The sequence below is a fragment of the Homo sapiens genome, chromosome 4 (genome assembly GCF_000001405.40).
Source record: "Homo sapiens chromosome 4, GRCh38.p14 Primary Assembly".
Taxonomy (NCBI): domain Eukaryota; kingdom Metazoa; phylum Chordata; class Mammalia; order Primates; family Hominidae; genus Homo; species Homo sapiens.
The window spans coordinates 99,835,788-99,858,550 of NC_000004.12; the positions used below are offsets into that span (position 1 = coordinate 99,835,788).

At 40.0% G+C, this 22,763-nt stretch overlaps 1 protein-coding gene across 7 annotated transcripts in view; it reads left to right on the top strand.

The window, feature by feature from the left end:
* Positions 1–22,763, top strand: part of DAPP1 (dual adaptor of phosphotyrosine and 3-phosphoinositides 1) — a 55,507-nt gene that overhangs the window by 18,961 nt on the left and 13,783 nt on the right. For 6 of the 7 annotated variants that reach the window (XR_007096391.1, XM_017008024.2, XM_011531840.3 and 3 more), the window contains exons 3-4: positions 4,502–4,635; positions 17,431–17,561. Coding sequence is in view for 6 of the 7 variants with exons in the window: in XM_017008024.2 (XP_016863513.1) it covers positions 4,502–4,635; positions 17,431–17,561 (265 nt within the window). In the remaining variant the exon portion in view is untranslated. Of the gene's footprint in view, positions 1–4,501; positions 4,636–7,213; positions 7,366–17,430; positions 17,562–22,763 lie in introns of those variants that run through there. The other variant, XM_011531843.4, reaches the window with a different exon arrangement.

The window sequence follows — 22,763 nt, forward strand, 5'->3', positions numbered from 1 at the left end:
TGTCACTTACTGACTTTATCATCACTCAAATTGCCAGACAGCAAAACTTCCCAATTCCTGTTGGACCACCAGGTTAAAGGATTCCAAACTCTAAATGATGAGGGTGTAAAACAACATTCCTGCTCCATTCATTAGCAGGAAAAAAATTGTTAGAGCTGGAGGAGACATGAGGAATTATTTGATGGAAACCTTTCATGGGACTGTTGAAGAATCTGAAACCCAAAGCGGTGGAATGTCTGGTACCTCAAAAATCAACAATAGAAACAGTGCCAGAATCCAAATTCCTGACACCTGGCTCAGTGTCCTTTTCACTATTCTTTGATTTCTCTGTAAATGCAGAATGATTTATGACTGTACGGCTTTCATAGTCACAACCTCAAGGAGGCAATATACATGTTTAAAATTTTTCCTATAGTGGGCTAGCTTTTCATATTGAGTCTCTATTTCTCCCAAATGGTAAGAAAGTTAATCCAGTCCCCACCAGGTTCATACAGCCAAATGCAGTCATTGTCCAGATCTTTCAGGTCCTCCCCACCTCACACCCCCTTCTTTCTGTCTGGTGCCCCAGATCAGAGAGGCTGACCAAGCTTCTGGTAGTCAGGGGAGGCGGCTGGTTCTCAGTCGCATCTGACACTCTGGCTTCCACTGACATGTAGCAAGTATTCTTGGGTTTTTAGGCGCTTCTCCATGGATTAGGCAGGGGATGTAAGGACTCCATGAAATTTCCCTCAGCCACCCACCCATTAAGCTCAAACTGTTATTGTGTTACTGTTCTGATGGCACCTCCATATACCCTGGAGAGTCACTCTTCCCTTCATAGTGCAGTTCCTCAAGCTAATCTGGCCTCAGAGGCTCTCTCACTTCTTTCCCAGTCTACACGGTCACTACTGGTCACTAACTCAGTAGCAGCATTCACATTGTCTCTTTGGGCTCTGGGCCTTGCTTCTATATTCATTTTCTATGCTACATAACAAATTATCAAAAACTTAGGGACTTAAAGCAACGCAACTGGATTATCTCACAGTTTCTGGCTGGATTCTCTGTCCAGGATCCTACCAGGCTGAAATAAAGGTGTTGGAGAAGCTTGTGGCTCTGATCTGGTATTTAGTGTCTTCTTCCTTCATTTTCTCCTTTCCTCTTCATCCTTTTTCATCCATTCCCTTGCTGCCGTAGAACTGAGGTCCTCCTTTTCCTTTTAGCTGTCAGCCAGGGGCCATTCTCAACTCCTAGACGCCACCCACAGTTCTTTGCCACATGGCACCCATGGCTGTTTACCACATGGGTGTTTGCTTTCTTGCATGCCAGCCAGAACACATCTCCCTGACTTTTTCTTCTGTGAGCAGCCAGAGAAAACTCTGTTTTACAGGGCTCATGTGATTAGTTCAGGCCCACTCAGATAATGTCCATATCTTAACATCAACTGACTTGGGACTTTATGACCTGCTAAATCCCTTCCCAGTAGCATGTAGACTAGTTTTTGATTGAATAATTGGGATAAAGTGTGTGTACTCCAGGGGCTGGGATTTGGGATCATCTTAGAATGCTGCCTGCCACAACTCCCATTCCTGGAACAGTGAAAATCTACAGGCCTACTTGAAGTGGGTGGGTGTGCGAAACAGGTAGAGGGTGATGGGGTAAGTAGGGGTCACAGAGGAAAAACAAGCATATTCATTAACATTTCTCATGTCACCCTGTTATATTTTATTTATAAATTTTCTGAATAACATAGATGAAAAAATTATTAATCCAAGATGGAATTCTGTTTGAGTGGCAACAAGAATTGTGCTTTCTCTGCTCAACAGCAAATGTTAAAAGTTCATCTAATGGTTAAGTTGTAGATGCTTTATTGCACACATCAGAGGTCCTCAACCTTTTTGGCACCAGGGACAATTTTGCCACAGACCGGAGCAGCGGCAGATGGTTTTGGGATGATTCAAGTGCATTACATTTATTGTGTGTTTTATTTTTGTTATTATTACACTGTAATGTATAATGAAATAATTATACAACTCACCATCATTCAGAATCAGTGGGAGCCCTGAACTTGTTTTCCTGCTACTAGATGGTCCCATCTGGGGGTGATGGGAGACAGTGACAGTTCGTCAGGCATTAGATTAACATCAGAGGCACACAGCCTAGATCCCTTGCATGTGCAGTTCACAATAGGGTTTGCACTCCTATGAGAATCTATTGCCTCTACTGATCTGATAGGAGGTGGAGCTCATTGAGAATGCAAACAATGGGGAGCAACTATAAATAAAAATGAGCTTCGCTAGCTCACCCATCACTCGTTTTCTTGCTACGTGGCTGGCAGGGGGATGGATGGGGACCCCTGGCATGAATCTTCCAAAAATGAAAAGTTAATTAACTTTTCACCTATGTATGTCTCATCTGAGCAATTAGATCATAAGCTTTTTATAAATCAATGACATACATATTTCATATACATAAAAAATAAAGAATAAATTATTGATTTTCATTGCAAGCACTAGAGAATGCTTATTAAAAAAATGACCAGCAGAGGTGACAAAAACCACAGACTAATTCAGGAGAATGACTATTTTTGTTTTATGAACAAATATTCACTTATTTGTTCATTCTTTTAATGATGAATATTTGAAAGCATTTATTCTGCACCAGCCACTTTGGTACGTGTTGTAGAACAGTGGTCCCCAACCTTTTTGGCACCAGGGGCTGGTTTTGTGGAAAATGCGGGTTCAGGATGAAACTGTTCCACCTCAGATCATCAGGTATTAGATTCTCATGAGGAGTGTGCCACCTAGATCCTTCACATGTGCAGTTCCCAATAGGGTTCAGGCTCCTGAGACTCTAATGCCATCACTGATCTGACAGGAGGCAGAGCTCAGGCAGTAATGCTTGCTCACCCACTGCTCACCTCCTGCTGTGCGGCCTGGTTCCTAACAGGTACCCAGTCTGCAGCCCCAGGATAGGGGATCCCTGCTGTAGAAGATTGAAATACCTTATTTTGGGGAATTACAGCCTCACAGAGCCAAAAAGACCACATACAAGTAACATACTACAAAGTAGAGGTTGACAAATAACATAAAAGAAAGCAAGATAAGTGTTTAGGTGGTTCAGAAGGGAAAAAGCAGTTAACTTAAGCTGGAATTATCATGTAATACTTGACAGAGGAGGTGGTACTTGAACTGCACCTTAATGAGTGGCTGGGATTTCTACCAGCAGAGACAAAGAGAAAGACCGTTTCAGGAAAAAGGAACAGTATGAACTAAGGGACAGAAGTGGAAACTCCTTGAAGAGCAGTAGATCCAGTTGGACTAGGGCAGCTGTTCTAAAGGTGTGGTCCCCAGACCAGGTGTGTCACCTAAGAACATGCTAGGAATGCACAGTCTCAGGCCCCACCTTGGATCTACCGAATCTCAATCTGCAGGGGTGGAGGTGGAGGTGGCAGCAAGCTGGGTTCTCACAAGCCCATCAGATGATTCTGAAGCATGCTAACATGGTAGCATGGGCTGCACTGAGAGTAATAGCAGGAAGTGAGGCTAGAAAGATAGAATGGGATCAAATAAAGTGGAGAGGCAGATATATATATATAGATATATATAGATATCTATAGATATATATAGATTAGATATCTATAGATATATATATAGATATATATATATTGTTTAATACTCTGCCTCATTTCAAAAATGAAGTGGAAAATGACAATGTAGGAAATTTGATATTTTATTCAGTAGGCAGTGGAACATGCACGGGAGGAAAAGGGCTAGGCTCACGTAACTAATCAAGCGACAGAGCTGAATTCTGATTGACTCCCAAACAAGCAAGGGAGAAAAGCCCAAGGCAGAGGAGAGTGTGGTGAGGGTGTCATATGTCATTTCTATCATTCCTATTCTCTGCCCTTCTTAAACTCATGCCCCTTAGCAGCATAATGTTCAAGGACTCTTTTGGTAAGTCTAGGAGTAGATAGGGAGAACAGTCTCTTGTCTTCCATTAGAGTGAAAAGTTGAGGCTGGGCGTGGTGGCTAACGCCTGTAATCTCAACACTTTGGGAAGCCGAGGCAGGAGGATCACCTGAGGTCAGGAGTTCAAGACAAGCCTGGCCAACATGGCAAAACCCAGTCTTTACTAAATATACAAAAATTAGCCAGGCATCGTGGCAGACACCTATAATCCCAGATACTCAGGAGGCTGAGGCCAGAGAATCACTTGAATCCAGGAGGCGGAGGTTGCAGTGAGCCTAGATCATGCCACTGCACTCCAGCCTGGGGGACAGAGCAAGACTCTGTCTCAAAATAGTAAATAAATAAATGAATTAATTAATTAATAAAAGTTGAAAAGAGCAAACTCTGCCAAAAGAAACTAGTGATGCTATTTAAAACTGTCAGTGGTTTCAATGATTGCCTAATTCTCAGTTCTTATAAAGGGTTAATAGTGATGCTAACATCTGAGATCATATTTCCCTTCAACAAGATATTTATTTGTTAAATAATATTAAATACTTCTTTTTCCCTTTTAGGGCCAAAGATTCTGTTAAACACTTTCATGTTGAATATACTGGATATTCATTTAAATTTGGCTTTAATGAATTCTCATCTTTGAAGGATTTTGTCAAGCATTTTGCAAATCAGCCTTTGATTGGAAGCGAGACAGGTAAGCTATGAGCAGACACTTGACTTATGAAATAATGTTTCGGGATGGAGGAGAGACAAGGCAGATTTCAATTTAAGAATGTCATTGTTGTCATTTATATTTCAGCATTATCTTGAAGAGAAAACAATGTATTTTGTATAAAGTAGATATTTTCTCAGAATGTGTTACTTAATGGATTGATTAAAAGCACACAATTTCTTTAAAATGGGCTCACCATTTTAAAATAACATATACAATACACACAAAAAGAACAAAGGTAAAAATGACTTTTTGATTACTCATAATTTCAGATATAGGCAGTTTGCATATGAGTGAGACCCACAGAAGTAAATTTTGAGCATTTTAAAAACTAAAATTCCCACTTAAATGTTCACAGAGATCACTGAATATTGAAAATATTAACTAGGAAGCACTCTCCTAAGTTATAAAATTCTGTTTCTATTGTCACGGTTTTTTAAATAAGATTTTAAGCTAGACTTAACTATGGCTGGAAAAGTTTGAATTTTCCTGTTTGAATGGTTAGAGAATTAAACCAGAAAAAAATTCATGTGTAAAGAAAAAAAACACAAAAAACAGTCTATCTTGGCACTTGAATTATCTAAGATTGAACATCTTGTTTATTTATATTATTTTAATGAAGTAAAATATCATCCCTGTATTTGTGATATAGAATCACAACACTTTTGTCCTAAATAATGATAAATCTTAGTTAATCAAAGACTAGGAAATTCCAAGAACCTGCGGCACAAGAGGAACTCAAGACTTAATAACACAACCAGTTACCATGAGTTTGTACATACGTGTTTTCTTGGCAAACTTGCCAGTGGGCTTTCTGTTAACTTCAGTGTGATGGGAAGAGATGGCATCATTGGCTTCTGTCTTTTCTGCTATTTATGTGGTGTGGGTAGTCCCTGATGTGACTCACACAGTGTCTAGTATACATGAAGTGCACAGCGGAAACTAGAAAATAGTTGCTCTGCTTTATACTGACCACACCAAGCCCAAGAAAGAATAACCCAAACTACGAAATGAAGTTATAACCTTTTTTTCCTTCTTTCTCCTGGTATAAATTCTCCCAATCAACCCTGAAAATTACTTCACCATTTAACAAGCAGTTGTTCCCATGAACAAATGGCCAGTGGAGGTGTATTTATTTCCACTGCTACCTTGGCCTTGGCAAGCATTTCAGTTTCTCAAATCCCTACACTTCAGTCTCCTTTCCTGCTTGCATCCAATTCCACACTTGATTTTGTTCAGTTATTGGTCACTGGCCATGTAGAGGAGATTTTTAAAGCCAGGGTTTTGTTTTGTGTACCTCTAATTTTTGTATTTCATATCCGCCAGGTCCTGGCCCACTGCAGGGCATTTTGGGTGAATAAATAAATGAATACATGGATAACTATGAGTAAGAACTCTTTGTAGTCTTCAAAGCCACTAGAGTTGTCATTTTTCTACTTTCTCTTTTTCTTCCAACCAAAGACAGCTCCCTTCTTTTAAATTCTTCTCCTAGACTCTATTTTCAACTTCTTTGATCATTCCCTGTGCTCCTTCCTGGGCCTTCTCCAAGTTAGGGAAAAGATACATATTCTGCCTACTGGCAGATTTCAAAACATTTAAGATCAAAGTGAAGGCAGTGCTTTCTGGTTGAACCTTTCTGGCACTGATCCAATCATCAGGCAAGAGGATCACCTAAGGATGCGCCAAAATAAAGATGTTTTGATATTGCATTTGGGACAATGATAAGCTTCCTTGTAAATACACTGTTCTGAGTAAAGAAGCCTTATGATTGATGCATTAGGGATTGTAAGGATTTGTCATCCAGACTTCTACAGTAGTTTCTCTAAAACTCAAACCTGCTGTATTATTATCTTGACTACAATTGCCATTTTATTTATTACAATATAACTCAGGAACCTAATATTTTTATCCTCTCCACTGCCTCTCCTCTGTTCTATTCATTATCCAATGAAGAATTTGCTGCTGTTTGAATTCCTGCTTTCGGCCCCTCGTGCTGATGGATATGCACTTGACTTGCTGGCTTCCAGCCCTTGAGTTAGAGTCCACCAGCTTTATTCCTCTTATCTGTCCCAGCCAGATGAAGGGAAAGCCATCAGGGCTAGGAACAACAGGCAAAACCCATGACAGATGAGTGTTCAAATCTTGCCCCTCTGGGAGTAATAGGCCTTGGGAAACAAGATAATGTGCTCAAGTCATGATGACTTGTAAGCCCAGAAATTCCTCAAGGTTACGGAGTCAGCATTGCAGACTATAAAGAATGGTGAATGGAAACTGACATGCCACCTTCTAAAAATAGGCCTTTTCTTCTTGTTCATTTAAGCATGGGCTCCTAGTATTGGCTCCCAGTGATCAGAAGATCTTCAGGCTAACGATTTCATGTTCACCTTCAGATGAAGTACAGATATTTCTTTCTTTTTTTTTTTTTTTTTGAGACGGAGTCTCGCTCTGTCGCCCAGGCTGGAGTGCAGTGGCGCGATCTCGGCCCACTGCAAGCTCCGCCTCCCGGGTTCACGCCAGAAGTACAGATATTTCTTATAGCTTATGTTTGATTAACATCACCAGGAAAAGCATTTGTCCACACAATGGACAAGCCCCTCCCAGGGCTCTCAACTTCAGATTACCAGAATGACAAGGACTAGAATTGGATATTTCAGGCCACTGCTCTCAGCCAGACCCCACCCAGGCCCAGCCTCACCCTGCAGGGTCTAGAGGGTAAGTTTATTAAAGAGTGACTTTCTTATAATACATTTATCTACTGGCACAAGTGGTATTACCTTTGAGGGCAACAGAAATGATATCCAAATAGCCAAAACTTTACACTTTTGCCTTGCAGTTATATATAATGCCTTCAGTAGAGTGAAACCCAGAATATTTGATTTTGGGTCGTAAGAACATTTTTGCACTCAAAATAGATAAAAGTGTTGACCTAAGGGGATTAATGCTATTTTAAGATATCTTTTTTTTCTATTCCCTACTCTTTACACTTTTAGGATTTCTGTTTGCTAATCTGAAAAGCAAGGATTTCCTAAGCAACATCTAAGCCTCTTGACAACTTTAAGAGTATTTTATGATAATTTCCCTTTCCCTTGCCATAATCTCTATTTCATCTCTCTAATCTCCATTAAAGTTTCTGTTCACTCTAATTTCTTTTTATCAATACCCATAAACACTCTTAAGATACTTCCAATTCTCAAAACCTAATAATTTCCCAAGTACATGATAGAGATATACAATGTACTCTCTTGCTTTATTTTTCTCAATGGCCCTTTTACCTTCTGACATCTATAATTCACTTATGTTTTTTAAAAAAATACCTTTTTTTCCACACTAGTGTGTGAACTCCATGAAGAAAGGGACTTTTGTCAGCTTTGCTTCCTGCTATGTCCCAGGACCTGAAAAAATAAGTACTGATCATTTCCACAATATGTCATGCTGGATGCCCCATTTCCAATGCCTGCATTGCAGTTTTTTGCATGGCAACATCAAAACTAGCAAACTTGTGACAATTTTAACTTTCAAAGTTTATAAAAACATAATTTGAAATGATATTTTGTGTTGCATGTATGCTCAGTGATGATTAAATTCAGAATTTGCCTTTCATTTGTGATAGTGTTGCAGGACTTTTCCTTAGTTCAGCTAAAGATCGGGTCCCTCTCCATCCCACGGCCACAAAAATTTAGGCTCGCAGACGGTTTGAAGGGTGAGTGAAGCAGGGTTTTATTGGATGAAAAGAAAGAAAAGAGGGAAACAGGGAAGCTAGAGCGCTTCCTGCCCAGCAGTTTGAATTCTATGTTCCTCACAGGAAGAGGAGGGGCCAGGCTCCTCCCCACTGCAAAGGACACGAACTTCCTAAGGCTTCACCTCAGTGGGCAGGCCGGTTGGAGTTTTTCTGTCTCAATAGTAGGATATCAAATAAAACATATTCATGTCTGTGCATGAACTCTAAACTAAACTCAAATAGACTTGAAAATTTGAGAAACTTTTTTATTAGTATAAATATGTTTGGTCCATTATTAATTTTGTCGTAGCCTCTTGTAATTAGCTAAGTTTCATATATATAGTCTTGAAAATGTAGACGGCATTTATCTTTATGCTTAAATGTCTAAATATGATTAGAACAAAAAATTACTTTTACCATTACCTTTTGTTTATGTTTCAATAATTCTTAACATGAAATTGCCATGTATAATTTATTACATTGTATTGTGACTGTAATCACCTAACAGGCATGAAAAAATATAATACAAGTCAAGTTCTATGTTTGTGCTTACCCTTTATAATAATTGGTTCCCAATTTTAAAGATCTCATCTGGTTTTTTGGTAAATGTCAAATCTCCATTTCTCTTTTTGTTTTGATATGGGGATTCCCAATCTTTTGACGACAGCTACCGCTATTATTATTTTGTTTTGTGACACCACCCAGGTGATATTTTTAAATAATGTGGTTAAAATTAATTTTAATTTGAGAATTGGGTGGTTCTTCAGAAAACAACTAGTGACAACTTAGAATTTTTCCAAACTTCCTTGGATGTTTGCCAAAAATACAAAATGTTCTCAGTTTATAGATGAGTTTTATTCGAAAAAGGAAAAAGCAGCTGAGGAAGGGAATTAAGCCAACATTTTTAGAGTGTTTGCTAGGTTCCAGGCATTCACCTACATCAACTTATTTCATCTCAGCCACCCACAATAATGCATACAACGGTCCTATTTTCAGATGAGGAAAGGAAAACTCAGAGGTTTTAAGTCACTTGCCCAAGTTTTCACTGCTGGTAAACATCAGGGCTGAGATTGGAATCTGGGCTAATCTGGTTCTAAAGCATAGATGCTTTCCATGCACCTTGCTATCTTTTGAAACTGGTCCCACAATAACAGTACATTGTTGCCATGGTACAGTGTGGCCTTAAATGGATTTGGAAGAACTCAGAGCTGAGATTGGAATCTGGGCTAACCTGGTCCTGAAGCATAGATGCTTTCCAGGCACCTTGCTATCTCTTGAAATTGGTCCTACAGCGACACTGCAATACATTGCTGCCATGGCACAGCATGGCCTTTAATAAATTTGGAAGAATTTCTGCTACAATAATGTAGTAGAATGATTGTAGGATATGGCAGGGCTGTAACACATGTCTTAGTCCTATCCCTCAGTCTCTTCTTTATCTCTTCTTTAAAGTCTACAATAACATGTTTGGTACATGAAGTAAACCTATTGTTCTAAAGAGTGTGAATCAACTTTAACTTCTGCCTTTGTATTTATTGTTATTCCCATTTTATTTACATGAATTGCTATTTCAGAAATTATACCAGAGGAAACTTTAAAACATAAAAAGGCTGAAAAGAAAACATCCCCCTAAATATACAGGCTCATCTTAGTCATGTGTCTTCAGCAAGGATATCAAACAGCCTGTCTAAGTATAACAAAGTAAAATAAAATTTACAGCTTGAGAGAGAAACTGAAAGAAAGGGAAAATGAGAGGTAAGATCAAATGACAGCAGGAACAAAGTATTTCAAATGAATATTGTACATTTACAGGAAGCAGTACAAGCATTTGGTAATGAAGCTTCTCGATGTTTTTTTCCCCTTATTTGGGCCTGTATGCTTAGTTAGATTTACAGGATGTTAGAATTGAAAGGGAGCTCAGGGACTATTGCATTTTTCCTTTATAAATGAAGAAACTGAGGCCTGGTTAGAAATGGGGAAGCAAAAACTCACATCTCCTTTCTCAAGCTGCCTCCTAAAGAATCAATTTCTTCAAACTTTGATTTATACATGTCAACTCTTGCCCACAATACAGCACAGTATTTCACATGCCCTAGAAGTTTCCATGGTGACTAGATTGAGGCTGAGAATAATTATGGTATAATGAGTAAACACACAAATTCTAAGTTTCAACTCCAGCCTCTGCCATTTGCCGGCTCTGTGTGTCTCCTCAGGTAAGTTAAATAATCTCTCTGAGCTTCAGTTTCATCATCTTATGAAACTGATTAGATGGTAGTAGCTCATACTTTAATGACTTATTGTGAAGATTGAATGAAATTAGGCACATAGGACATTTGGAATGATTCTTAGCATAGTATAAGTATTCAATAATTATTATTCATATTTAATAAAATGCTTTTATGGTTATTAATTCCATCAGATTCTATGCAAAAGCTGTACGTTCTTTGATAAATAATAAAGAATTAGTTTAGGGACAATTGAATTTGCATTTATCAAATGTTTGTGATGTCCTCTTCAAACTTTAATCTAGTTCCATAGTGGACTCATATAAGTGGTAGAATCAAGTGAGCACTCCAAAAATAGTGACTTGACTTGGATATTTGAACAGAATTTTCTCCTACACTGACTAACTGGTATGTCTCTCCTAGTTCAGTGCACTTCACCCTATGAGACTGGAAATTAAATATTAAAACCCCTTCACATGTAAATGAACAAGGCTTAAAGTCCATTTGCAGAGCAGGTGGCAAAGAAGGAAGGAAAAAGATCTTGAATAACCCTATTCTCTCCCACCAACCCCAAGAAATCTACTTCTCATTGGAAGGAGGGGAGAGAGGAACTCATTATGCCAGTTGCAGAGCTTATTTTCTGAACCTGAGGGCAGTAATGAAACACGGATGGACATGATCTGATTTTAATTTAATTCAACAAAATGTTTTGAGTGAAATGGCCCTGTGAGCCACTGATAACATAGAAAGATAAATCAGATATTATTCTTGCCTTCAAACACCTTACAGGCTAGCTGGGGTACCTGATGAATAAGCACTGACCTCACTGCATAAAATAAATACTCTAAACAAAAGTTTTTCTTTAGGAGTTTTGTGTACCCTGTGCTACACTCTATTTCAGATACCAAACCAATGCCTAAGAATTGAGACTGTTCTTACTCTCTTTCTGAGTTCCTGCTGGAATACAAGATAAAGGGTCCTTCAATGCAATTTCATATTATTGCATACAGTTATATATGTAACTCTTACACATAACTGTAAGTTACCATTCAGTCAAAGTAAATGGAAATGCCTGCCTTGGTCCAGCTCTGATCATCTCAAAAACATACCTCCGCTAAGCATGGCTGAAACCAGGTTTCATGTCAAAGGCAGGAAACAATAGTCACCTTTACGTAGTTCAGAAACTGAAGTGAAACTTATAGCCAAGTTTCCAAGGCCTGTGGTTACTGGTCTTCCTCATTCTTCTTGCTCTGCTACCCCTGCCTCCTGTTGCCTTTTTCTAAATCTCCCAGCTGAGTCCTGGAGTTCATTTGGTCTGAATCTCAGTAACCCAGGGTCCCTTTCTTCCCGAGCTGAGGCACTAACTTGGACCTTGGAGGCAAAGTATTAAGAGTCTGTGGTAGCGACAGTAGATAAGTTTGTTTGTTTGTTTGTTTGTTTGTTTGTTTTGAGACAGAGTCTCACTCTGTTGCCAGGCTGGAGTACAGTGGCGCCATCTCGGCTCACTGCAACCTCTGACTCCCTGGTTCAAGCGATTCTCCTGTCTCAGCCTCCCGAGTAGCTGGGATTACAGGCATGCGCCACCATGCCCGGCTAATTTTTGTATTTGTAGTAGAGACGGGGTTTCATCATGTTGGCCAGGATGGTCTTGATCTCCTGACCTCATGATCCGCCCCCTCGGCCTCCAAAAGTGCTGGGATTACAGGCATGAGCCACCGCGCCCGGCTGATAAGTTTCTTTTGATTGGAAATGACAGAAACCAGCTCTGGCTAGCTGGGTTTTTTTGGTCTTGTTTTTGATTTTGTTTTTAAGTGAGTAGGGTACAAGAACAGGGAACAGGAGCAGAATTTTTTTTTTTTTTTGTGATGGGGTCTCACTCTGTTGCCCAGGCTGGAGTGCAGTGGCACGATCTCGGCTCACTGCAACCTCCGCCTCCCGGGTTAAAGGGATTCTCCTGCTTCAGCCTCCCAAGTAGCTGGGACTACAGACGCATGCCACCACGCCTGGCTAATTTTTGTATTTTTTTTAGTAAAGACGGGGTTTCACCGTGTTAGCCAGGATGGTCTCCATCTCCTGACCTTGTGATCCGTATGCCTCGGCCTCCCAAAGTGCTGGGATTACAGGCATGGGCCACCGCGCCCTGCCCAGGAGCAGAATTTTTTAAAAGGATATTAACAATATACCCTCCCAGAATTTAAGGGCAAGTTGAACAACCAAGAGACAACAAGGAATCTGCTTAGTAATCATGGCAAGTCTGAGGCTTTCAGTCAATTGATGTGTCTGTCTTGATTCATCTCTGATCGTCTCAGAAGTGTACCTCCGCTCAGCCTTTCTGAAACCAGGTTTCATGTCAAAGGCAGGAAACAATAGTCTACTTCATGTAGTTCAGAAATTGAGTTGGTGGACCTTCTCTCTAGAGAAGCAATTAAGTGGATCCCCAAGAAGTGAATCCAATTAGTGTGACCAGGTCAGGTATTCGAGGGCCGGGCCAGGTCTGGAGGTATAACATGGTTATAGGGAACCTATCTCTGTATACTGGGAGGTACAATCTCTGCAGAAGGGGAAATCATTAAGCCTCACAGCCATGCCAAGAAGTCTGTATATTGGCTCTTCCTTGGGCAAGAATAGTCATCTAAGGAGAACTGTCTTTTAGGACACCAGATTTTTATCAGTATAAGTTGCCGTTTTATAAGTACTTTGTCATCTTCATCTCACAATTTAGTTTAGCCTCATTTGTGGGGTTACTAGTTAAAATCAATCTACAGTCAGTTTTACTCTCTTGGTTGACTCAATGCCATTTTCCTTTGTTTTACTTTTGTTGAATTAAACTTTAGAGGAGGTTTTCAAAATAGAATTTGGGTTCCTCCAACAGAGATTTGAAAAGTTATGCCTGCGGTTATTGTCCTTTCTTGCCTCAGGCCTGGAGAATTGTGGACCTGGGAGGCTGGTTCATCCCAGGTTCTTTCTTGGTTCAAGCCTGCATTACTGTAGCATTCATTCATTAATTCATTCACTCATCTGCCTTCATTATGTCAGAAACTCTATCAAGTGGTAGGGATACAAAGATAAATTTGACTGATAGGTGCGCTGAAGAGGCTCACAGAGGTTGGAAATGCACACGTTGGAAAGGCAGTGGCTGTCTAATACCAAGAGGTGACAGCACTGCAGGCTCAGGCAGCAGCCCAGCCCAGAGATCCTTACCCTGCAGCGCAACTGGCCCCGGTGGCTATTTCTCCTCCAGGGACTGATACTGTGGTAGGAGGATAATGCCCCCACAGGACGTCCACATGTCTCCCTGGACCTGTGAATATATTGTTACATGGCAAGAGGGAATTAAGTTTGCAGATGGAATTAAGGCAGCTGATCAAATAACTTTGGGGTGGGGAGATTATCCTAGATGGTCTAAGTAAGACCACTGTAATTGACAGGGTCCTCATAAGTAGTAGGGAGCCAGAAGGGAGAGAACCAGAAAGATGGCAGCAGGAGAAGGATCTGACTGGCTGTTACTGGCTTTGAAGACAGAGGAAAATGGCCACAAGTCAAGACATGAGGGCACCTCTGAAAGCTGGAAAATGCAAAGGAATGAATCCTCCCTAGAGCCTCCACTAGGAAAGCAGCCTTGCCAGTTTTAGACTAGTGAGACCCATTTCGAACTTCTGACTTCCAGAATTGTAAGATGATAAATCTGAGTTGTTTTAAGCTGTTATGTTTGTGGCAATTTGCTACAATAGCAATAAAAAATTAGGCCAGGCACAGTGGCTCACGCCTGTAATCCCAACACTTTGGGAGGCCGAGGCGGGTGGATCACCTGAGGTCACGAGTTCGAGACCAGTCTGGCCAACATGACGAAACCCCGTCTCTACTGAAAATACGAAAATTGGCCCGGTGTGGTGGTGGATGCCTGTATTCCCAGCTACTTGGGAGGCAGAGGCAGGAGAATCGCTTGAACCTGGGAGGCAGACGTTGCAGTGAGCTGAGATCGTGACATTGCACTCCAGCCTGGGTGACAGAGCAAGACTCCGCCTCAAAAAAAAAAAATTAACACAGGTATTATTATGTGAAGTGTGTGCCTGGTCGTATCAACTAAGTACATCTTTCTGGAGTGTCATTTAAAGCATTATTTTCATATTAAGTATTAAATATATGAAGTAGAATGAAAATTAAGCATCAACTTTGAAGATAAAGTATAAGAGTTCAAAATGTATCTAATTTGGGAGCTGCTTTGATCCCTAGGCTTCAGTTCCCCTCTCCTCTTCTGTAAGGTGAAAGTGTTTGAGAGGCACCAATTTAACTATAGTTAATCACAAGTAGTGATTACTAGACTACCACCATTTTTATTCCTAGCAGAATGTTGCGTCTAGGTCTTTTTTAAGATTTCAAAATCCATGTCCCCAAAGATGCAATCATTCAAATTTTATTTAAGGATTTAAAAATATTCTGTCAAAGAATAATAATATCTAATATGTTATCATTCTCCCACAAACATTTATTTGGTGCCTTCTGAAGGAAGCATAATTATTCTCACTAGTAAGGAGCAGAAGCTTGTAATGGTTGTCCAAGGCCGATAAGTACTGAATGGCGGTAGTGACAATTGAACCCTGTTCCTCTGCCTGTGCATCCAGTGCTCTTTCCAAGGGTCCAGAGTGACTATGAAGCACATCACTGGGAGTGTTTCTTAGGGTTGGGAGCCAGCGCTGAATTTACCATGCATCTACAATGTGAGCACTGTGTTCACAGAGCCCCTGAGCCTGCACAGCAGCTACTCTTGATATAGGTACTGCTGCTTTCATTCTGACTGTAAAACTGTAGCCGGCCCCTTCTCCTCATATGACTGGATCTGTTCTTATGGGAAGATCACATTGACAAAAGAGAGCACAATGTGCAAGAATGGGACGGTTCTGATAATGGCAAAATCTGTTTTTCATTGTGATCCCAATGCTGCAATGCCAATGAGAGACAGAAAGAGGAAGGGCCAGAGGCTTTCATTCTTCTCTGAGGTCGAGATCAGACACCCTCTTCTGGCTTTTCTCAACAGCTTTTCATTTTACAGCAGCACCTTATCTGGGCCCAAGTATCAAAAGCCACAGTTCTGTTTTTGCAGTCAGACATTGTATGTATTCAAGTATCATAGACAGGTTTTGTTTTGTGTAGTTTTTTTTTTTTTTTTTTTTTTTTGAGACAGAGTCTCACTCTGTCACTCAGGCTGGAGTGCAGTGGTGCGATCTCGGCTCACCGCAACCCCCGCCTCCCGGGTTCAAGCAATTTCCCTGCCTCAGCCTCCCGAGTAGCTGAGACTACAGGTGCCTGCCACCACGCTCGGCTAATTTATTTTTGTTTTTATTTTGTATTTTAGTAGAGATGGGGTTTCACTATGTTGGCCAGGATGCTCTCGATCTCCTGACCTCATGATCCACCCACCTCAGCCTTCCAAAGTGCTGGGATTACAGATGTGAGCCACTGTGCCCGGCCTGTTTTGTGTAGATTTATCATTAACATTAGGGTGTTTTTTAACCACAGAGGAGACATTTTTCTTTTTCATTTTCTCACTCTTACTCTAATTCAGGTTCTATACTCTCCAGATCTTTCAAATCTTTTCAAAGACGCCCTTCCTGATGACCCTTGTAAAATATCACCCTCTCCCAACCCTACCTTTTCTATTCTCTATCCCTTTACCATGCCCTATTCATTTTTTCCATAACACTTCTCACACATAAAATATTTTTTAAATTTTTTTTCTGTCTCCTCTACCTAGAACATAAGCTCGATAAGAGCATTTAAACTCCTTTGTGTGCTATTGCATTCCCAGTACCTAGACAAGTGCCTGGCAGAGTGCAAAGCTCTGTAAATATTCGTTGAATGAATTGCTGAATTCTTTACATCTCTTCCATGTCTGGTACAATCTTAGGCTTGCTATAGAAAAGACCCTAGTAAAATTAAAAGCAAGAAACCATAGCAAGAAGAAAAAAAATCCCCTTAAGTTGCCTCTTTTTGTAGTTAGTTTCTAGTTTCTGATTGACTGATTGATTGAGGGAAGGATTTCAAGAAGGAAATGTCAGAAACATAGACTCAGAACTGCTCTGAGCCCTTGGAACAAAGTTCCCCAGCCCCCCATGCCTGGACCCCCTGGGCTGAGCCCTTTTTCTGCCTGGAGGCTCCCCTCTCCAGATGGAAGGGGAAGGAGGCAATCACTTGTGAGCACCAGCTTGTTCAGGTCATGTTCACTTAGTAATGCAAAGACTTTGCTTGGTTACTTTCATTAATTGGGTAGTATCAGAGAGTAGGGAGAATGCTCACTTTTTTGAAATCCACTAATTTGTTACACGTTTATTCGGAAACTGATTGATAGGAAATAAGGGCAATGGAATGGATCTTCCTCTACCCTAGTGCTTTTGTTTAGTCTTGTTCTCATGGCTTTCATAAAGCCTTCCTGGAAAACTTCCAGTTACTACTTAAGATCTAAATCAAATGTCACCTCCTTTATGAAAGCTGTCCTGAATCCTTTCATGGAAAGGTTCTTCAAGCAGTCTGGGGATGATTATCATGCTTTGCTCACACGGCTGCCATTGGTCTCATCACCCTGTTCATTTAAACGACCATATCTGTTACCAGTTCTGAGCACCAGGAGGCCAAGGAACATCTCCATCATGCTTTATATCTCAGTGTCCAGCTTAAGTGCCTTATACCTAATTGGTATTTGATAACTGTTGAGATAATGAGCGAGGGAATACATGAAAAAAACAAAAGACTTTCCAATCCAGCCACAGTTATCCAGTTAGCATTTGGACCTTCCTTCTGGGAACACTGTTCGATTATATATTTTTCATCTTCATTCAGGCACTCTGATGGTTCTAAAACATCCCTACCCAAGAAAAGTGGAAGAACCCTCCATTTATGAATCTGTCCGGGTTCACACAGCAATGCAGACAGGAAGAACAGAAGATGACCTTGTGCCCACAGCACCTTCTGTAAGTGACCTTCAACGTGACCACAAGCTCTCTCCCTGTCTAAAATCAATCAAGTTCAATAAAAGTTAATAAGAGTGTATTTGTTCACATAAAAATTCTAGCTTGGAATATAAAACTTGGAAAGGAATGTGAGATTTGAAGCCTATGACTCAGTTCATCTGGTCCTGGGTAGATCATAAAAATTACAATGCAGCCAGACATGGTGGTTCATGCCTGTAATCCCAACATTTTGGGAGGCCAAGGTAAGAGAATTGCTTGAGCCCAGGAGTTGGAGACCAGCCTGGGCAACATAAACATCTCTACAACAAACTTTAAAAAATATTAGCTGGGCATGGTGGCATGCACCTGTAGTCCCAGCTACTCAGGAGGCTAAGGTGGAAGGATTACTTGAGTCAAGGAGGTTGAGGCTGCAGTGAGCTGTGATTGTGCCACTGCACTCCAGTCTGGGTTACAGAGTGAGACCTTGTCTCAAAACGAACAAATGAAAGCAATGCAATAGTAATAGGATTTTAAATACTTCGAAAATGGAACTTAAATCTCTGTCCTTAGTTAACCAAACAACTTCAAAGTAGAATGGAAAAGAGAAGTTTGCATTCACATAGTTTTCTAAACTGTTTTCTCCTACAATTTTCTTATATTAAGAAAATATATTTTTTTAAATATTTCAACTATCTATGGAAGACAAATATTCTCCACCTTTACTATAAAAACTCAGGGTATTATTTTTTCTAGCTTTTTTTCCTTTACTGACTGAAGTTTACAGACAGAAAACACTTGTGCTTCTTTGCAACGTGAGCCATTGTTCAATTTCAGTGCAATTGGAGCACTCATTGTTTGTCCAAGAGTCCATTTATGTTTGTTCTGTGAACTGTGACTCTGCAGAGGTTCCTCTCCAACACCCTTTTCCCTTCATTATTCTGAAGGCCCTTCTATTTGTTGTCTCTTCCTTGTTTGCTGAATACTCCTGGTATAAGAAACCTCTATTTGGGCAGATGATAAAGAAGATAATACCCAAATAAATATCAAGAACTAATTCTGGATAGTAATCATGACACTTGAAAAATAATCACTTGAAGATATTCAGCTACAAATTATATTAAAATAAGTGTAACTTTCTATATCTGCAGTACTTTTCTCTACCCTTGACCAGAGAGATCTTTCTTAAAAAGAAGGCTTGCCACATGACCTCTGCTTTACATCCTTTGGTGATGCCTTTTGTGTTCATGGCCCACCTGGACCCTGCTTGCCTCTCTGTCTTCATCTCATGCTACTCCCACACTCACACTGTGAAACCTGTCTCTCTCAACATTGTGCTCTTTCTCCTCTCCCTACATCTGAAATGCTGCCAACACCATTGCTATCTACTCATCCCTCAAGACTGGTATCACGGATCATTATCTTCCAGGAAGCCTTTCTTCACCCCCACTAGCTTCTTTTACAATGCTCCTCTTCTGTGCTCCAGAGCACCCTCTGTTTGCCTTTATTCTAAAATTACCATGCTGTGGGCTAATTACCTTCACATCTCTCTGCCCTCCCCACCAGCCAGAAACATCTAAGTACATGAATCATTGCTTGTCCTTGCAGCTTTACAGCCTAGCCTGGCTCATGGCACATCTTACATATTCATTGCAGTGCTACATCTCCTCAGAAATAAAAATCCTGAAAATTGACTGAGAAAGTTATTTTGGCTTTGTTAGAAGTGGGGGAGAAGGCATCAAGAACTCAGAACTTGAGAAATTTAGGAGTGCAAGACAATAAATAGTCCAAAGGCAGAAAAGACCAAAGAACAAATCAAGATCTACTCTGCAACCAATTCTTGTTTTCCAGTTGTCCAGTCCCTTCATAATTTCCTCTTTACCCACCCTTACCCTTAATATAGATCACCAGTCACTTCAACATCTCTTTCATTTGCCCTGTTAGTTTAACTTCACATTCTCCTCTGCTACACTTCCCCTAAAGATCTCCACTCAAGGTCAAACAAACCATGTCCTATTAAGCGTGTTCTTTATCGGCAATAAAATGCAGATAATACCTAATTTGTGAGATTGGTGTGAGCAGAAGATATAGTATCCTTATGCAGAAATAAACCTCTTTAAAGCACATTCTGGAAACCTTGTTACTTACCTTCTTTTCTCACTCCAGCTATCAGATGGATTCACCTCTTTTAAAATGGAGTTTTTAAAATAGTGGTGAGTGATTGGTTGACAATGACTTGAACTCACACTATATAATGACAAGCTTATGAAGTTGATTGTACATCACTATGGACAAAAAAAATGTAAAGGTTTCCTAGAGGATCTGAAATGTTTCTCATTACTTCTCATTGGGGAATCATTGGTGACTGGACCAGTATAGCTGCTGGGGAAAGAGTTCTGGTCTGATCAGAATGCTCTTGTCCCTTATTGAACACAAGTTCTAAGCCTTCATTTGCTACCCCAAATGGCTACATGATGCTGCACCTCCATCTCCAGCCTGAGAGCCCTGAGGGTTTTCAAACTTCTGCATTTTCTTTTTGGGGTGTAGTTCTTGCTCAAGGTCTAGCAGTGGAGGAAGAGAATTAAAAGAACTTCTTGTTTGAAGCGAAAGTGAAAGATGCCCCACTGCCCAGAAATGCAGATGACTGTGTATAACTGTTTAACATCTTTTAGTAACTGCATTTGGGGAAATTGCTATTTATGTCTTATAAACAACATAGCATTGAGTTCCCATGATAGGATTAAATTTAATTAATTCATTTATTAAACAAACTTTTTTTTTTTAAAGTGCTTCCAATACACTCAGAACTGTTTTAAGCACTGGGAGTTTGGCAGTAATTTTGACAAAGGTCCTCCTCCCCTCACTGAGCTCACATTCTAGTGAAGATCACAGACAATAATCAATGCAGTAATCTGATACCAGACAGTAATACATCATGAAAAGAAAAAGTAGGATAAGGGGAGAAGAGGGAAGCAAGGGAGGCCTCTGTGAGGAGGAACCATTAGTAAGAGATTTCACTGAAGGGAAGGAGTGACTCATGTCAAGATGTGGAAAGAGTGCTGCAGGCAGAGGAAACAGTACAAAGGCCCTGGAGTGGAAACAAAATTGAGGTGCTTCAAAGGCTAGGAAGGTCAGAATTACGGGATGAAGTGAGCTAGAGGAAAAGTTGTAGAAGGTGAGATTATTGAGGTAATGAGGGGTCAGATCACATAAGGCAATGGAGTTTTCAAAGAGCAGCACCTCCCAGCTGAGCATTTAGAAATATGAGTGTTTCTGTTGGTGCATTGCTTTGCGGCACTACTATCATGCGTGAGTGTCAAGAGCCATGAAGAGTCTGACTTTACTCTGCTTGCAAGCTAACAAGTTAGCCTGCTGCAGTTTCATGTATGCTGATGGATGACACAAGACTTCTGGGTAAGCGTTGAAAAATAGTTTGCTATTCACAGGAAGAGCAACAGCCAGGATATCAGTATTTATGCTAATTCCCTGTGCTGAGCCGAAGTTCCCAAAGGGCAATATTGAAAGGGCCAGGTGATATCCACAATGGGTTGCCCTACAGGAGAGGAACCCTGAGCCTTGGGAACCCAAATCTTTTCTAATGATCAGTAGACATGTCTTTTGTTCTGAAGGGAAATATTTCTTTATTCCAAGGCTGCTTGTATAAGCATACTTTAAATATCAGTCTGCAGCAAAGAACTGTTAATGCCTTGCTCATAAGACATTTGGAACCTTGACAAGAGACCCGTGGAGATTATTTCCCAACAGTGATCAGGGGCTAACTATTCTTCAAAGAGTGGTAGAGAATTATCTTGCCCAAAATCTCAGTAGTACCTTTTGTACATAACATGAGAATTCTTTACCTTCTGAGCTTGTTTAAAAAAATTCTTGCAGATGGATTGAATGTGATACACGAAAGAAAGAGTAGCAGAGTCATGGCAGAGAAGCCCTGCTATTTACTGAGAAGGCTAACTCTGCAGGAGGGGTGGGTTGAGGGGATGAGAAAGAAGAGCTCTATTTTGGACATGTTAAATGAGAAATACCAATTAGTTGTCTTGGTAGAGATTGAGATTAATATAGTTCAAGTTCCTGACATAATAGGTCCTATCTAAAATGTTAGTTTCCTTAGCTTCCCTTTTGTGGTATTTGACGTTTTTAACAACTCCCTCCTTCTAAAAATTCTGTTTCCTTAGCTTTGGCAACATCTTTCTGTCTTTATTCCGTAATCTTTGACACATTTTATAGTTCCTCTTCTTGGATACTTTCCTTGCACGTTGCCCTTTTCCAGTATTTTGTTTTTGAAACTCTTCTCAGGTTTAACATTTTGTTGCTTATCCTTTCAGTCTTTTACTTGAAAAAAAAAAGTATATGTATGTATATACACACACACACACACACACACACACACACACACATAAAATAATGAGCTCTTCATTGTAGAGTTGTAATATTCTTGTTTAATTAACTATATATTTAAAATTTTTTTCATGTAATTACTTAGTTTTCTGGAACACCATTAAACAAATTCCATAATATTCCATTATTTGAGTATATCAATTTATTCAGTTAATCCACTATTATGTTTTAACATGCTTTTTTATTTGAAATAATGTCAAAGTTACAGAATAATTGCTAGAATAGTACACAGAACTTGGTTTTCCCCAAGTCGTTTGATAGTAAATTGCCTACATGATGCCCCATCACCCTGAATATTTCAGTGTGTATTTCCAAAAATAAGGGCATTTGCCTGCGTGACCAGATAGAGCCTTCCAAACTAGAAAATTAACATTGAGGCTGTGCCACTGTTTCATCCACAGATCTCATTCAAGCTTCACTAGTTTTCTCAGTAAGTTCCGTCAGAGTAAAAGATCCAGTCCTCAAGCACAAGTTGCACTTATCTGTCCTGTCTCTGGAAGATTCTTCACTTTGGAACACTTCCTCAGTTTTTCCTTAATTTCGTGACTTTGACACATCTGAAATTAAAGACCAGTTATTTTGTAAATAGTTTCCCAACTTTGGTTTATATGATATTGAATCATGATTAGATACAGGTTTTTTCATGTTGGCTACAAATACCACAAAAGTGATGCTTTGTTTGTGCTTCTCACTGTGTCTTCTCAGATGGAACACAATTGCAATCTGTCTCATAATGGTGTGTTTGATTACTTAAGTGGTGTCTGCCAGGTTTCTTCACTCTAAAGTCACCATATTCCCTTTGTTATTAAAAAA